Source organism: Homo sapiens, chromosome 2, assembly GCF_000001405.40.
Source record: "Homo sapiens chromosome 2, GRCh38.p14 Primary Assembly".
Lineage (NCBI taxonomy): Eukaryota > Metazoa > Chordata > Mammalia > Primates > Hominidae > Homo > Homo sapiens.
The window spans coordinates 9,134,876-9,152,344 of record NC_000002.12 but is presented as its reverse complement, the minus strand read 5'-3'; the positions used below and the strand labels follow the sequence as shown (position 1 = coordinate 9,152,344).

Here is a 17,469-nt window from a genome sequence, read left to right as displayed (position 1 = left end):
AAGGTAGGGAGTGTCCCTGGAAGAGGCAGAGTACCCTGTGAGGGCCATCTAGGGTGAGGAGCATTGCTGCGGACCCATCCTGACCAGGCCACGCCTGTGAGGAAGGTAATCCCTACTCCCCAGGCTCTGCTCAGACAAGAAATCCCACTGTACCCCCCGCTAATTCCAACCCTCCCCAGACTCAAAGGGATGCCTTTAGAGAACCAGAAAGAATAGGGGACAGGTGATCGGTGCCATTTCCTTTACTGATTGCAGCACTCAAACACACAATCCTCGTTTCCTGATGAGCGTAATACATGGAAAAGGGGCCAGTAGGTGGAGAAGGAGGTAAATTGGGCTCTGGGGTATGTGTGCTGTGTGTACAGCAAGAGCATGGAGCATTGGTCTCTGCGGGTTCTCAGGAGCTCCCAGGATCCATCCATCATGAATCAGTTGATGCTTAGTCCCAGGTGGAGGCTGGCATGTGAGGGACAAGGCATCATGGCTGTCCTGTTCCTCCTACTTCCGTGACTTCTCGTCTAGAGAGAAGGCCCAATCTTTTACTCCTTTAAATTATATCTGCATATTTACTGAAGAGATGATATGTTCACTTGGTTCAATTTTTTTTTTTTTTTGAGATGGAGTCTCACTCTCGTCGCCCATGCTCGAGTATGGTGGCACAATCTCAGCTCACCGCAACCTCTGCCTCCCGGGTTCAAGTGATTCTCCTGCCTCAGCCTCCCGAGTAGCTGGGATTACAGGCATGCACCACCACACCCAGCTAATGTTTGTATTTTTAGTAGAGATGGGGTTTCACCATGTTGGCCAGGCTGGACTCGAACTCCTGACCTCAAGTGATCCGCCCCTCTCGGCCTCCCAAAGTGCTGGGATTACAGGTGTGAGCCACCACGCTTGGCCTAGTTCAATGTTTCAAAAGCCCGAGTCCAGAGTGAAGTCTCTCTCTCACCTTAATTCTCAGCGACCTTAATGATCCCCGGTTCCCTCCCCGCAACACCCAGTATGACCAGCTTCCTAGGCCTTCTTTCAGGGATGTTTATGTGTTTTTTCCCACTTGTTGGTCACTATGGCTACATAACAGATTACCCTAAAATGTTGTAGCTTAGCGTTTATGATCCCACAGCTCCTGTGGGTCAGGAACGCGGTGGGCTTAGCTGGGCCCTCCAGCTCAGGGTCTCTCGCTGGCTACAGTCAGGGGGAAGCTGGGGCAACAACCGCTCCACACTCACTCAGGTGGCAGCCACAGCGGCCGCCGCAGGTCCCCACAGAATGTAGACATCGGTTTGTTGCCTCTTGGGCCTCTCCACAGGCATTCCCTCAGCGTGAGCAGGGACACAGGCGAGAGAGAGCAAGAGTGAAGCCACCGTCAGTGTGTAACCTGGTCTAAGAAGTGACATCCCCTCACCTTTACACGAGGGTGTCAGCTCCAAGAGGCCAGGGTCTACGGGTCTTTTTGGTGAAGTGTCATTTCATCCCTGGAGTTTGCCCCTGGGGTTCCACATGGTTTTCCAGCCAGTGTTGGGGCTCAGGTGGGGCCATCGAGAGCCGCTGAACTCTCATCCTCTCCAGGTCCCGCCAGCCACCTCTCAGCGAGGCCCCGAGGGGCCAGCAGCCCTAAGCGGAGCCACAGAGCCCATGGCTGGCTCTTCTCCAGACCAGGCTTATCTGACCTTCCCCAAAGCCCCCGAGGGGTGCCAGGGCCACACCACAGCCAGCTGCAAGGGGACAGAAAGGCAGTTTGCCTCAGCAGCCATCAGAGTCTGTCTCCCTGGGGTGAGAGGGACTGATGGGGACCCTCCTAGAACCAGAATTCTAGGGGTCAGCATAGTGAGGAGTGGTGGGAAAGGTGTGGACCAAGTTCCGTTCAGATGGGTTTGGGATTGACCCGCCCAACACTGTCCCCACCTGGCTGTGTGACCCTGGGCAAGTCGTTCAACCTCTCTGAGCCACTGTTTCTTTATCTATAGAATCAATAAAAAAAAAATCTTTATCAAAGAGACCCATCCCAGAGGACTGCTGAGGTGACTCAGTGAAGTGACGAGCATAGAAATGCCTGGTGTGGTGTCTAGGAAAGGAGAGGCAAGCCCAGCCTGCTCCACCGCCTCATGGAGCCTACGTCGTTCAGAACCCTGCTCTGCCCCACAGAGCGCACTGCCCCGGAGTGTGATTTTATATTCATTGCAGCCAGCCCCCTTCTTGGCCTCCAGTTTCCAATTTCCACGCTGGAGCATGAGCTCTGAGGCCAGGGGCCATTTTTGGCACAGCCTTGATCATTGCCTGCCCACAGGGTGCTCTAGGAATTCTTGCGGAGTTGACAAAAGCTGGTTCCCTTTCCATTGACAAACTTGGCTCCTTTCCTTCCCACCCAAACACCCCGCACTGGCTGCTGGAACAGTCAACGCGTCCCGGGCACTGAGGACTCCCTGCATGCCATCGGCCTGAGGCCCTCACACGGTATCCCAGCAAGTCCCCATGGCGTCTTGGAGGAGGCGCTATTGATCCCATTACACAGACAAGAAACCGGGGCCCTGGGGGCTTAAGTAAATTGCCCCATGCCACACTATTTGTAAGTAAGAAAGCCAGGATCCCTGGCCTATTCCAGACTGAGGTCAAACTTACCACCTCCAAATCATTGTCTCCCCAGGTTGAATCCTCTTCTCCCCACCTTAGGTTGCTCATCGAAGTGTCATTTTCTCTGGAGCTGACCTGATGGGGGTGTGGGGAGCCCACTGATGGGGTTGTGATACTGGGGGGCAGGAAGGAGCTGGTCGGCCCTGTCCAGGTCCACACAGAGCCCAGAGCCGCTGAACGTCACCAGGATCCCCCCAGCCAGGGGCTGCCCTGGAGATGGGAAAGTGGCCCAGGGGTTTTGTCCAATGATCGTCACCTGCTCTTTACAGGCAGGCACCTGTCCTGGGTTGCTCTTCCCGAGGGTGGCTTGGCTTGACTGTCCCCCAAACAAGAGTGGCATAAACAACCGGGCAACCCCCCGAATTTCCCAGTCGGGCAATCAGCAGAGCCGCAGGAGCAGCAGCTGAGGCGGGTGCAGGCCCTAGGACTCCCCGGCCTGGGTGGCAGCAGTTGCAAGCCGGGTGCTTGCTGGAGCCAGGGCAAGCCCCTGACCCTTCCCTGTCCCTCACTCTTGGTGTCATCTGAAGGGCTGTGTGGGGACTGTCATTCCCAGCCAGTGCAGCCAGCACTCTTGCAGATTAGGCGCTAAAAGACCAGTCCAGCCTGGGTTGTGTGCAGCAGGAATATGTGGGAAGTCCCCATTTCCAAGTCACCTCCCCAGGCTATGGCAACTCATGTTGACCGTCTGAGGAGCAGAGTTAAGCATTTGGCATTCATTTTGTGCCAAGGAAGATTGCTCTGGGCAGTGGCTCTGCTTGGCATGAACTTCAGCGTTGGCAGCATGTGCCCATGCCTTGGTTCATTCATTGAATGGTTGTTCACTAGCTGTGTGGTCTTGGACACCTTACCTAATTTCTTCAAATGTCTTTACCTGTAAAAGGAGGATATTAAAGGTTCCAACCACATAGGGTTATAAAATTGTGATAATGCAATAATGCTTGTAAAGTGCTTAGCACGATGCCTGGCGCGTAGTCAGTGCTTGGGAAATCTTTGTGATGATCGAGCACTTGCTGGCCACCTCCACGTGCCAGGGAAACAGAAAGGAGGGAGGTGATTGGAACCCTGGTTTTTTTTTTTCTTTTTGAGACAGAGTCTCGCTCTGTCACCAGGCTGGAGTGCAGTGGCACGATCTTGGCTCACTGCAACCTCTGCCTCCCTGGTTCAAGCGATTCTCCTGCCTCAGCCTTTTGAGTAGCTGGGACTACAGGCACCCACCACCACATCCAGCTAATTTTTGTATTTTTAGTAGAGATGTGGTTTCACCTTGTTGACCAGGATGCTTTCAATCTCTTGACTTAGTGATCTGCCCGCCTCGGCCTCCCAAAGTGCTGGGATTACAAGTGTGAGCCACCACGCCCGGCCGGATCCCCGCTTTTAATGAGTTCCCTGAGTAAATGCAGAAGCAGGTGTGGAACCCCCTCACTGTAGCAAAGTGATAAGTGCTGCAAGGGACCACAGAGGAGGGAGGAACCAGCTGCCAGGGAAGGTCAGGTCAGGAAGCCCCCAGAGATGGTGCCATCGCAGCTGAGACTCTGTAGTGTGCTGGTGGGGGCACCTGGAGAATGGAGCTCAGACAGAAGTGGCTTTCCCCTGGCCCCCACCCTGGCTTGGCCGAGGGGAAAGGAGCACAAGGCAGCAGCCAGAACTGAACTCTGCTGCCAGAATGGTGGCGGGGAAAGCAAGGCTCCTCATCAAGACAAGGTCAAGGGGATGTGGCTGGTGGGTCCCAGAAGAGTCACTGAGCAGGAGTGTGGGCCGGGGACGGAAGAGCAGAAAACTCAAGAAGAACACAGGGGGTTCCCATGTCATCACCTGAGGCAGGGGCCTTGTCTGTGGCTTGGGGTACCTGCTTTGCAGGGGCCATGTGAGCACACAGCTGCCTTTAGAGGACCAGGGACAGGGTAGGCCAGCAGAGGCAGAGGTAAGAACAAGAAGCAAAGGAACCCCTGAAAATCAGAAGCCACCATGGAAAAGGGGGCAAAGGATATGGACAGGTAATTTATAGATTTCCCCAAATCAAACAAGCATATCAAGAGATGCCCAAATTAGTAATCAGAGAACTGTATTGTACATTAAGACAATAATGAGGTATTATCTTAAGGCCACTCGACTGGAAACACTCAGAAACCTGAGGACGGACGGGAGGAAATAAAGGACGGGCCTTCCAGTGCGAATGTAACTGTCCTTCTAGGGGCAGCTGTGAAATCAAGCACAGGTTTATTCTGTGACCCAGTTGTTCTACTCCCGGGAATAGTTCTCAAAGAAATTCTCACCTAAGGGGCATATACAAATTCATGCCCTGCAGCTTTGTTTGAGATGGTGTCAATTTAAAAGCAATCCAGGAAAATAGATGCATGAAACGGTTTTAATCCATACTTTGGAGAACTGCGCAGCAATGAGAATTAAATGAGTTGTGCAAAGAGCAAAAGGAATGTGTCTTAAACTAAACAGTGTTTAGAGAAAATGGTCAAAAAAATGTAATATATAAAACAACACCATTTATAGGCATTAAAACACACACAAAAACTTGGCAACACGTATTTCACAAGACCCAGATGAAAGATACATGTTAACACAGGTAGCATTATTGCCTTTGGGAAGAAGGGAAATGGGAGTGGTCGGCAGAAATGAAAGAGATAACATTGATTATTAAAAAGATGGGGTCTTGCATGGGGCACTGACGGCGTTGAGGAATATGAGGAACTCAGCCTCATGCACCTGAAGTATAAAGAAAAACATGAAAAAGCATGGCGTGTTTGGGAGCCTTTTGTGCCAGTTGCCCAAACGCAGGGTGGGTAGGAAGGTGTACGGTGAGGCTGCAGGGGAAGGCGGGGGTCAGATCCTGCAGGCTGTGGGTGGCAGGTCACCAGGGGCCACTGACATTCTTACATTGTTGAATGATGCCATCAGATGTGGAGGATGGATGGGAGCCAGGAGACCAGTTACAGATCCAGGTCAGGGGTTGGCTAGCTTTCTCTGGCAAGGGCCAGAGAGCCAATATTTGGCCTAAGACAGTGGCCTGTGGGTCTTGGTGCAGAGTATTGGGTCTGGGTGGTGGCAATTGGAAAAGGAGAGATGGGGCCAGGTATGAATGCCGCCGGGGGATGGAATTGGCCAGACTTGGGGGATGGGGAGGGGGTGGTGATTCCCAGGTTTTGGGGAACTAGGATGGTGAGTGGTTCAACCAGGTGTCAACCAGGACAGGAAATCCAGGGGGAGAAGGTGGGTTTGAGGGTGAGGGTTCATTTCTAGACTTGTTGAATATGAACACTTGTGGGGCGTCTGAGAGACGTTCAGTGATGAGCATCCGACAGTCAACTCTGAAGAACAGATTTGAGGTCGGCTGCAAATGCAACAGGGACAGTGGCACACACATGGCTGGTGCCCACCAATGTTTGTTCCCCACGTCCTCCATCCCAGCCCGGGTCTCTTTGTGCCTGGGGGGGGGGGGCCTGCCCCACTCCCAGCAAGGAGGGCCCTGTTTGATGGAGCCGTTCCATTCCCCATGGTCACTGGCTTGGCGTTGGGCACATGGCCCAAGAGGTCCAGTCGAGGTGAACGTCAGGAGTCTTGGTCAAAATCCTGGGCTGGGAGGGTTTTTTCTTTCTTTTTTACTTTCTCTGATTACGGTCGTCTGTGGGTGTGAAGCCTGAAGTCGCCATCGGGTTGCCATCCTGCTACCAGGCACGTGTGAGGCCAGGCCCTGAAGGAGGGCATGGCGGAAGGTGGGATTCCTGTCTCTCCCGCCCTTTGGAGGGGTGGAGAGAAGCAGCTGAACTACGGGTGCCCGGAGGCGCTCAGAGCCCATCAAAGTGCAGCGCTCCCGCTGGCTCCCTCCACCACGCTGGCCTCAGCCCCCCCGCAGGCTTCGTCAGCTCCCACCTGGCGCCGCCTCCAGGCTACTCTGTACCCCTCTGTCCCCTGAGCTGACACAAGTCAGCTTTCTCCAGCCGGCTCTCATCCGGGCTGCACTCCACTTACCAGAGCCTTCCTGAAATGACCACGACAAACGCTTGTGTTACCAAATCATGGAGGCGGCACTCACTGTGTTCTGGACACAGTGCTAAACACGCTCTACAGAGACTAACTCAATTCACCGTTGTTGTGTAAGCGGGTAAGTGCTATAATTGTACCCATTTTATGGCTGAGAAGACTGAGGTATGTGAGGCTAGATAACTTGCCCAAGGTCACAGGTAGCAAGTGGCAGCACTAGGGTTTACACCCTCACTCCCAAATCATTTTGCTCTTCAGACTAAAACACTCCTCTGCTCAATCTAGATGGTTCCCCTCACTTTGTCACCAAGAACCTTGTGGGGTGGGCGTGGTTTCTCCCACTTCATGTAGGAAGAAACGGAGGCTTGGAGAGGGTAATGACTCGTTGGAGGTCACGTGGATGCTAGTGGTGGCGCAGCTGAGATTTGAACTGTCTCCAAATTCCAGACTCCCCTGTTGCATCATCTAGTGCCTGAGAAATTTAGGCACAAGTTTGGGAACAAAAACTCCGGATTGCAGAAAATGGCCAAGTAGGAGAGAACTGTGGCCGGGGAAGCCCAGCCCCATGAGGAGGTAGAAATCAGACAGGAGGGAGGCCTGAGCTGGTGGGGGCTGCAGGTGGTCAGGGACCAGGTTGGGTCCACCATGCCTGGAACATGGAGCTGTGCACTGTGCCGGTTGCCAGTTTAATATCTCATGTGTGTGTGTATGTGTGTGTGTGTGTGTTGTGAATGGAAAATAAATCTCAGCACCCCAAAATCACTAGGCCAAAGGGAAAAGTCAAACAGAGAACTGCATCAGGCAAACCTGCCTCCTATTTGATTCCTAAATAAGATAGCTACAAAGATTAAAAAAAAAAAAAGCTACATGCCTACATACCTCCATCACAATTTCCCACAAGGAAATTCCTTGTGGACGGCAAAACCCTAAAACAGTTCTGTTGAATTTCAGCCTGGCAACGTAAATTGATAGCTTGTCTTCCTAGGTGTGGGAAAAGGACAGAACTCGGTGTTCCCTCTGCTCACCGGAGACAAATGCATATCTGATGGCTTCTTCTGCCCTATTTTAAAATAAAAACGCAGGTTCACTGAGTCAGACTAAGGCCTAAGTGACTATTCCTCTACTCCGTCCTCCCACGTAAATTGTGTATTCAATGAAAGGCTGATCAAAGACCCAAAATAACCTTTTGTTTCTTATCTACCCATGACCTGGAAGTTCCCCCAACTTCAAGTTGTCCTGCCTTAGGGGAGCGAACCAATGTACATCTTACATATATTGATTGATGTCTCGTGTCTCCCTAAAATGTATGAAAGCAAGCTGTGCCCCCACCACTTGGGTACATGACCTCAGGGCCTCCTGAGGCTGTAACATGGGTGTGTCTTTAACACTGGCAAAATAAACTTTCCAGATTGATTGGGTGTCTCAGACACTTTTAGGTTCACAGTGTGTGGTGTGTGTGTGTGGTGTGTGTGGTGTGTGTGTGGGGGGTGTGTGTGTGTGTGTGTGGTGTGTGTGTGATGTGTGTGGTGTGTGTGTGTGGTGTTATGCAATTTATCATGTGATTTGTGTAATCATTGTTATTTACTGGTCTATATGTTCAGTAATGGTGTCTTAGGAACATCTTTGCTTTTTGTTTTGTTTTGTTTTTTGAGATGGAGTCTTGCTCTGTGGCCCAGGCTGGAGTGCAGTGGTACAATCTTGGCTCACTGTAACCTCCGCCTCCCGGGTTCAAGCGATTCTCCTGCCTCAGCCTCCCAAGTAGCTGGGATTACAGGTGTGCGCCACTATGCCCGGCTAATTTTTTGTATTTTTAGTACAGATGGGGTTTCACCATGTTGGCCAGGCTGGTCTTGAACTCCTGACCTCAGGTGATCCATCCACCCGCCTCAGACTCCCAAAGTGCTGGGATTACAGGCGTGAGCTACTGCACCCGGCCTTAGGGGCATCCTTGATAGAGGCTTAAGGCCATGGACTTGAATGAGATTTCCCAGGAGAAGGTGCAGACAGAAAAGGAGGCGGCTTGGGTGGAATGCCAGACAGAAGAGGGACTTTGCTCTGGCCCCCGGAAGAAGCTTCGTGGAGGAGAAGGGTCTATGAGGGGAGGAGACCCCAGAATCCCCTACAAGGGAGGCATCTGGGGCCTGCCCAGCCCTGCTCTTGGGACCCTCTGACCTGGGCTTTCCAGACAGGTCCGTTTTCAAACCCTCTGCTCATGGCTCCCGTACGCCATCAGCCCCAGAATGCCAGCATTTAGGTGCCTAAGCTACACTTCCTAGAAAGCCGTTTGCCTCTGGAATGCTTTGCTAGGTCATGTGTACTGAATTTGGGCTGGAAAAATGTAGCTATATTTGTAAAATATGTCAGTAAGATTGAACACCTGTAGCCAAGCTTGCAGGAGGGACCCCGAAGTCACTGCTGCCAGGCTGGACACGGGGGGCCTTTTGCACCCCCAGCACAGGGCCTGGCACACAAGCCACACTCCGTTGTGAAGCTCGGTTGTTTGTGGTCAAATTCTACACTTTTGGCATCTTTTTTTCAACGAGCGGGAGCACAGCTGTGCGGCGTCTCCTAAAAGCCTTGGCGAGTTAACTCCTACGGAAGTAGGGAAAACGCTTTTCCCCAAGGGGGAGAGAGGTGCACTATTTCTGGAGTAAAAATTTCATGCTCTGTATATTTTTGTTCAGACGTTTGAGCATGAGTTCCTCCGTCTGCGAACTCTGAGTTTGAGGATTCTGAGTCACAGCCCCAGACACGCGCCCGGTGGAAAACGCCCCAGTCCCTCGCGGGGCAGAGGCGGCGCCGGGAACGGTGCGGCAGCACCCCCTGGTGGCGAATGTCGATGCTGCGCCCCGAGGAAGGAAGGCCGGGGAAGCCCTCCTTAGGAGAGGCCCTGCTTGTTACCCCACCCTCCAAAGGCACGCGGCTTACCAGCCTCAGAGGCTCCCAGCTCCACCCTCTCAGCCAGTCTGGAGAGAGCCTGGTGTGACGGAAGGCGGTGTGGACCTAGGAGATAGGGACCGACACTTAGGGTTCCCTGCTGTTTGCGCATCAGGGAATGTGCTGATGAGGACTCAGAGGTGAATGAACCCTAACCCTAGGCCCGGCGCGGTGGCTCACGCCTGTAATCCCGGCACTTTGGGAGACTGAGGTGGGCGGATCACCTGAGGTCAGGAGTTCAAGATCAGCCTAGCCAACATGGTGAAACCCCTTCTGTACTAAAAATAAAAAGAATTAGCCGGGCATGGTGGCGCACGCTTGTAATCCCAGCAACTCGGGAGGCTGAGGTAGGAGAATTGCTTGAAGCCGGGAGGCAAAGGTTGCAGTGAGTCGAGATCGCGCCATTGCATTTCAGCCTGGGCAAGAGCGAAGCTTCGTCTCAAAAAAAAAAAAAAAAAAAAAGAGATGAATGCGATGAATGCACACCCTGGGCTCCGACATCTGCAGGCTCACGTGCTGAGGGGAAGGCAGACCAAGACCATAAGGACCAGAGCTAGAGATTCGGGGCTCAGTAGCGTGGGGTTCTGGCTTTGTCCCCTATCAGCTGTGGGACTGAGGGCAAGCTGCTTAAGCCCTCAGAGACTCAGCTTTTTCATATGTAAACAGGGAAACAGGGCTAATAATTAGTACTTGGCGTAACTATTGTTAAGATACAGTATGTGAAATGAGAGGTACATAATAGATTCACTAAATGGAAGGTAATTATACTTCTTATTCATGTCATAACAACTGATCTGGCAAAGAAGCGAGTACTGGGAGATGAGGGCATGGTTAGGAAAGTCTTCATCAATGGGGAGACATTTCAGCTGGGTTTTGAAGGATGACTAGGAGTTTTCCAATCAAAGGGGGAAGGGCCTCTAGATGGGGGAACTGTGTGTACAAAGGCATAGTGGTAAGAAGTGCTATAGTGCATTTGGAGAGCTGTAAATAGTTCGGTAAATAGTTCAGCAGGTGTAGCTGAAACTGGCCAGGTGAATTTGATCAGAATCTCTGAGAGCAGGTTACAGGAATCTGTGTTTGATAAGAAGTTTCCCAGGAGATTCTGAGGCTGACTTCCCACAGGCCTAAAGTCTGGAAACCCATTGCTGTACCTGACATTCTGCACAATTCTCTCTAATCTGAACCACAACCCAGCAAGATAGAGGTTATTTGTCCTTATTTTACACAGCAGAAAGCCAAGACTCAGAGAGGTAAAGCGACTTGCCCAGGATCACACAGCTAAGGTAAGCCAAGATTCAATCCCTGGTCAGGTTGACTTCAAACCCCATCCACACAGTGAGTGCCCAGTAAAAGCCAGCGATGACCCTCCCTGCCGACGCTCTACAGGCTGGACCCCCAGGTGTGTTGATCCTGTTTCCCTGACTCCATCCTGTTAGGAGTCTGAGGGAAGAGGGGGTTGGGGCCAGGGAAGCACCTCCTGTGGGCCAGATTTCAATGCCACGTAGAGAAGTTTCCCTGGTTAGAATTGCTCATTGGAGGAGGAGAGTCCTGCTCTTCTCAGGAATTTGCCAGAGATAGTTTTGTGGGCGTGTGTGTGTAATTTTTAAAAAATCTAAAATAATCTCTGACTTAAGAAGAGCTTCCACTGCAGCACAAATCATGCATTTTTTCCTGAACCATTTGGGGGTAAATTGTCAACACTTGCTCCCTAATACTCCACCTCCAATACTCCATCACCCCAAATACTCCCATGTACTTCCTGCAAATATGGACTTTCTCCTACATGGTCGGTCAGAACAACCTTCACTCACAACTCAAGTTCGCAGGGCGCGTTGCTGCTGTTCAAGTCTCCCCAGTGGTCTGATGATTTCTTCACAGTGAATGCACCCAGTTCAAAATGGTATGTGGCTTCTGGTTGTCACATCTCCTTAGTCTCCTAGAGTCTGAAGCTGAGCTCAGTCTTTACTTGACTTTCATGGCCTTGACACTTTCGAAGATTAAGGGCCAGTTATTCTGTGGGCTGTGCCGCCACTTGAGAGACTGCTGCCCCCTGGGGATTTGATTTGCGTTATCTGTCTTGGCAGGAACACCTCAGAAGTGCTATTCCACTGGACAGGATTTCAATTTGCCCTATTTAAGCATTGTCTTTTTTTTTTTTTTTTTTTGATGGAGTCTCACTCTGTCACCCAGGCTGCAGTACAGTGGCATGATCTCGGCTCACTGCAACCTCTGCCTTCTGGGTGCAAGTGATTCTCCTACGTCAGCTTCCTGAATAGTTGGGATTACAGAAGTGCACCACCATGCCTGGCTAATTTTTGTAGTTTTAGTAGATATGGGGTTTCACCATGTTGGCCGGGCTGGTCTCAAACTCCTGATCTCAGGTGATCTGCCCTCCTCTGCCTCCCAAAGTGCTGGGATTACATGCCTGAGCCGCTGTGCCTGGCCCTGGCTTGCTTCTTCTAAAACTCTCTTCCACTCCAGGTTCCCCGAAGCCTCGAGCACCCCATCCGGGACCCCCTGGAGCCTCCCCTCCCTCTGCTTACTGCCCCCACCACCCACCTCCCTCCACGTGCTGTAGAAACCTCCCTGACAAGCTGTGGCAGCACAGGGCCAGCTGCCCAGCAAGTTCCCCTGTCCCTCCTGGGGTCACCCAGACTTTACTCTCCTGGGGCTGTCTTTCCCACTTCGAGGTGGAGGAGTCCCTGATTAATTAAGGGTTCTGGCCCTTTGGAATTCATCTGTAGAGTTGCAAATGGACTGCTGGGGCCATATGAGAACCCTGTGATCCTGGGGACGTCACTCAGTGCCCCATCCCCTGATCTCCCTCGGATTCATCTTTCCCTCAGTGCTGGTGGCCAAGCAGGCGCTGCCAGAAATCCCTAGGTGTCCAGGAGGTGGCGCTGCGGGGTCAGAACCTGCACCCTTTCATGCGAATGCAGCTCAGAGAGGGGAGAGTGCAGGGGCAAAGGGAGGGGTGGGGGCTGCGAACTAGAGGCTGTGCAGTCCCCTGGAAGCATTCTGCGTGTGCACGTATGTGTTAGCAAACACCTACATACATACCAGCAAGTGCACATACCCACACATCCATACCAGTACACACACACATCATATATACTAGTAAATAGATACGGGTACACACACATGTATATACCTCTATATATGCACACGCATACATACTAGTATATGTATACACACATACATGCATGATAGTCTACACACACATATACCAGTATATATACACATATATGCAAACCAGTAAATATCTATATGTAATATATATACACGGAAACATGTAGCAGTTCATTGTATCCTCTATGTGAACATGTGTGCACACATCCTAGATGCATATCTGTGCATAGGCACACACAGGTCTGCACATACGTGTGTGCATGTGTACGCACTAGGCCCTGGAGTTTGGGCCACTGACTTCTGCCTCTGAGGCTCGGGACGGCAGCAGCTTCTCCCCCATCACACAGGCCGACTCCAGATCTCCATTCTCCTCCCAGATCTTTTTTTTTTTTTTTGGATCACAGGTGGGCAGGATGGTGGCCTCACCTGATGCAGTGCACACCTCCAACAGGCATCAGATGGAATGCACTGGGAGCAAGATTCTCATAGCAATGACAAAGATCCCCAACACCGTCCACCACGCAGCCGTACGTATGTGTCCTCAGATTTCATGCGGGGCAACTGTGGTTTTCCCCTGAAAGAAGCACCACTGATCCCTGCACAGGAGGGGCGCTGGGGGAAGGGCTTTGAAACAGAGAGGGGAGCCTGGCTCCCACCCTGGCCCAGCGGGGGAGCCTGAGGGTGGGGGTTCTGAACACAGTGTGGGGCTGTGACTGGGCAGCCCTAAGAAGCATGGTCAGTGTGCCATGCTCTGTTCCCAGGGGACTCGATGTTGTGGGTCCAGTTGAGGCGGAGAGGAGCCAGGAAGACAGGACAGGCCAGCTCCTTGCCTGGTGGCTGAGGATTTCTGGTTGTGAGCTTGGGGGACTTCGCAGGGCCGGAGGGGGAGGGTACCTTTCCTAACAGCGACACCCTGTGGTGTTGGCCGCTGCAACAGACACTCAGGTGACTTGTCTGTCTCCTTGAGATGCTGTGACCAGGGCTTGACCTTTGGACTGAGAGAGCATCCGCTGGGCCGGGGGTCTTGGAGTTATTTGGAAGGAGGACCCTGAGATTTCTTTGAGAGATGACCTAATTCAAGAAGCAAGAGGACATGACCTCGCTTCATGCTCCAAGCAGCTGACCTTGGAATCTGGTTATAAATGCGTCTGTGCCTTTCTTGGACAAAGCAGTTTTTGCTTCTGTGTGTGTGTGTGTGTGTGTGTGTGTGTGTGTGTGTGTCTGTCCACTGGCCCAGGGGAGTGTTCCATCCTCAGGTCCCTGAAGCATATCCCAGCAGGGCAGGGTTGGTCCCAAAGGCCACGTGGGCTGCATGATGACCAACTGGCCCTGTGCGCCTGTGGAGCGAGGGAGGAGAAATGGCCAAGCTCAGCTGAGCACACCCGGCCTGAGGGCCCAGGTGTGCCCTGAGAGTCGAGGGCAGATGTAGGGGGGAGTTGGGCCTTTTTAATCATAGAAGCAATGGCCCGCCTGCCACAGTCAATGCTAAGCTCCTCAAACATCTTGCAAGCTGCTTGCTCAGGCCTCCGACTCAGGATTGAACTACATGTGGCACACTCCCGCTACAAAGAAGCCCACATCCTGGCTGTTCCGGAACATTCCTCAGCCTCGCTGGGTGTAACTGTTAAAGGCGCAGTGTGGACGGCGGCTTGTCCTTTCCACTGAAAGAAGGAACAGGTGTCAGGGCTGGAGGGAGCTCACTCGAGGCAGGTGCCTTTCGGTTACCTGGGTTTCCTGCACCTCTCTTCTTGCAGCATTTGCCTCTGGACGCGTGGCCTTGAGCCTGGCCCCTCGAGTTTATCCCAGCGCTTGGTGACGAGACCCCACATACTGCACAGGAGGACAGGCAGAGGGTCAGCCAGAGCGTGGGATGTGGAAGTGCCACCTCCCTTTGCAGGCTGTGTGTCTTCGGGTAAGTAATCAGCTTCTCTGAGCCCCCCTTCCATCTCTGTCAAATGTGGACGAATGATGCCTGCACTTTGTCCCCGTGAGGCTGTCAGGAGGCACCCTGGTGTGGGTGGGAGGGCTTGGTAAACAGCAGGCTGTGCATCTGGTGTTGGTCATCAGGCTCAGGGCTGAGTACACAGCCAGGAGAGCTCACCAGGCCTGGGATGGGGCCAGCTGCATGGAGCTGCTGCCCTGTGGCCCTGCAAAGCCCCTCTTGGCACCGCCGCCGATGTTGACATCTGCAGATGCCACCTTCTAGAAAGTTCCCCTTCCCCAACATGTCCGGAGTCCTCAAGGGATGTGATACTTTCAGTTCCGCTGTACGGCTTGTTTTGAAAATGAAATTGCTCCAATTGCTCCAATAGCAATTCCCAATTGCTAGAGTAGGGAACAATTGGAGCATAACGTGAGTTTCAAAGTTCACATTCGCTCTGCACAATTTTGTCCTCAGAAACACCAGGCGAATGCAGAGAATGGCACCTGGCTGACCAGAACCTAGGAACACACAACCACACCCGTGCACGCACCCTAGGAACACACAACCCCACCCTCGCACACACCCTAGGAACACACAACCCCACCCATGCACCCTCCAGCCCTCCGTTCACAGGGTGTGTTAGGAGTCACATCCACATCCATCCAGCTCTGGTGCTAGAATGCCCCCCCAATTCCAGATCACCCAGCTCACAACCCCAACGCCCACTTCCTCAAACAAGCCTCAAGTCTTTTTAAAGGAAAACACCATATTAATTTTAGTATGTATGTATTTCTTAACCATTTAACATGTAAAACTGTGCTATCTTTTTTTTTTTTTTTTTTTGAGACAGAGTTTCATTCTTGTTGCCCAGGCTGGAGTGCAGTGGCGCGATCTCGGCTCACTGCAACCTCCGCTTCCTGGGTTCAAGCACTTCTCCTGCCTCAGCCTCCTGAGTAGCTGGGATTACAGGTGGCTGCCACCATGCCCAGCGAATTTTTGTATTTTTAGTAGAGATGGGGTTTTGCCATGTTGGCCAGGCTGGTCTCGAACTCCTGACCTCAGGTGATCCACCCACCTTGGCCTCCCAAAGTACTGGGATTACAGGCATGAGCCATTGCGCCCGGCCTGTGCTATCATTTTTATTAGGTTCCAGTCTTTTGTAAATGTCTTGCTGACGAAGCCCCTAACTCTATCTCCCTCATAGCCTGCTGGGTCATCTCACATGAGTTTGCAGAGTGCAGGGATTTTTAGGGATGTCTGCTTCGCAGCATAACAGAACGGACTATTTGTGAATCTGTGGACTGGCCCCGGGTCTCTGCTTCTGCCAGAGCTGTGGGTGAGGCCACCCGGGTGTCAGGACCCTGCCATAGGCAGTGCCGGCTGTGCAAATGTTTGTGCGTACACCTGTTGCTTGCGTTACTGATGTCCATGGGGAAGCAGTGGCAGTTCTCCTACACCAAGTGTGGGTGCCCTCTGATTTACGGGGGCTCATTCACTGAATCGTCACAGCAGCCCCAGAAGGCTGGTACTAATAATATCTTTGCTTTAAGATGAGAAAACCATTTCACAGACAAGTTAGGAAACTTGAGGTCTCATAGCCAGGAATCAGAGGAGTCCAGCTTTGAGCCGCCCTCCTGGACGACGCTGCCTCCCCCTGTACTGGGATGGGCAGGCTGCTTCTGCAAAGGACCAAATAGTCTTCTCAGCTCTGTGAGTCATGAGCTCTCTATTGCAGATTCCTTTGCAGCACAAAAGCAGCCACAGGCCCTTGCAAACGCATTGGCAAGGCTGTGTGAGGACACGCTTTTGTTTATGGACACCAAACTTTGAATTCCTTATCATTTTTATGCATCACAAAATGTTATTCTTTTGATTTTTTTCAACAATTAAAATAACATAAAGACCATTCTTGGCTTATGGATCGTACACAAATAGATGGTAGGCTGGGTTTGGCCCATGGTCATAATTTGCCTGCATAGATCCCTGCTCTAGAGTGAGAGAATTGGTTAAAAGGGTTCCAACGTTTGAATGGCTCTCGAAATGTTCTGGAAATGAAACCATGGGGCTTGCACACATTTACATTGTTAGCAGGATTTTGATGTTCCAGTTTCACCACAATTTCATGCTTATTATTGTTATTATTATTTTTTGAGATGGAGTCTCACTCTGTCACCCAGGCTAGAGTGCAGTGGCATGATCTGAGCTCACTGCAACCTCCACCTCCTGGGTTCAAGTGATTCTCTTACCTCAGCCTCCAAGTAGCTGGGATTACAGGTGCACACCACCACGCCCAGCTAATTTTTGTATTTTTAGTAGAGATGGGGTTTCGCCATGTTGGTCAGGCTGGTCTTGAACTCCTGACCTCGGGTGATCTGCCCACCTTGGCCTCCCAAAGTGCTAGGATTATAGGCATGAGCCGCTGCACCCAGTCCATGCTAATTATTTTTAATGCTTGTTAATGTATCAGTTATAAAATAAAGCCTTTCCCTCTGTTTTATTGGACTGATACATGTACATAGTTGTAAAATTAAAATAGTTACAGCACTTCTAACAAAAACAACTATACCTGCCTCACACCTTCTCACCTGAATTTCACTCTTTAGAGATAAGCATTTTCAACTATTTTAACTTTGCTGGGATTCCCCCATATTGCTTGCTTGCTTGCTTTTTTTTGTGACAGGGTCTGGCTCTGTTGCCCAGGCTGGAGTGCAGTGGGGCAATCACAGCTCACTACAGTCTTGACTTCTTGGGCTCAAGTGATCCTCCCGTCTCAGCCTCCCAAGTAGCTGGAATTATAGGTATGTGCCACCATACCTGGCTAACTTTTGTATTTTTTATAGAGACGAAGTCTCACTGTG

The 17,469-nt window shown here is 51.7% G+C and overlaps 1 long non-coding RNA gene across 2 annotated transcripts, besides 4 other annotated features; it reads left to right on the top strand.

Annotated features, from left to right (window-relative positions):
- Positions 1,870–2,789: an enhancer, noted in NCBI's record as "H3K27ac-H3K4me1 hESC enhancer chr2:9289685-9290604 (GRCh37/hg19 assembly coordinates)". NCBI's record gives its function as "activates a minimal SCP1, AML or CMV promoter by ChIP-STARR-seq in naive H9 embryonic stem cells {active_cell/tissue: H9 hESC(naive)}" and the evidence as "EXISTENCE:reporter gene assay evidence [ECO:0000049][PMID:30033119]".
- Positions 6,435–17,325, top strand: LOC105373417 (uncharacterized). 2 transcript variants are annotated; one of them, XR_922775.1, is made up of 4 exons: positions 6,435–6,742; positions 13,092–13,214; positions 14,442–14,599; positions 17,292–17,325. It is a non-coding gene; the product is annotated as an uncharacterized LOC105373417 (long non-coding RNA). The 2 variants fall into 2 exon arrangements; XR_922776.2 differs by lacking the exon at positions 6,435–6,742 and adding an exon at positions 10,524–10,841.
- Positions 9,230–9,309: an enhancer, noted in NCBI's record as "active region_15275". NCBI's record gives its function as "activates an Ori minimal core promoter by ATAC-STARR-seq in GM12878 lymphoblastoid cells {active_cell/tissue: GM12878}" and the evidence as "EXISTENCE:reporter gene assay evidence [ECO:0000049][PMID:35858748]".
- Positions 9,426–10,323: an enhancer, noted in NCBI's record as "H3K4me1 hESC enhancer chr2:9282151-9283048 (GRCh37/hg19 assembly coordinates)". NCBI's record gives its function as "activates a minimal SCP1, AML or CMV promoter by ChIP-STARR-seq in naive H9 embryonic stem cells {active_cell/tissue: H9 hESC(naive)}" and the evidence as "EXISTENCE:reporter gene assay evidence [ECO:0000049][PMID:30033119]".
- Positions 12,142–12,642: an enhancer, noted in NCBI's record as "H3K4me1 hESC enhancer chr2:9279832-9280332 (GRCh37/hg19 assembly coordinates)". NCBI's record gives its function as "activates a minimal SCP1, AML or CMV promoter by ChIP-STARR-seq in naive H9 embryonic stem cells {active_cell/tissue: H9 hESC(naive)}" and the evidence as "EXISTENCE:reporter gene assay evidence [ECO:0000049][PMID:30033119]".
- Positions 17,326–17,469: the final 144 nt, after the last annotated feature.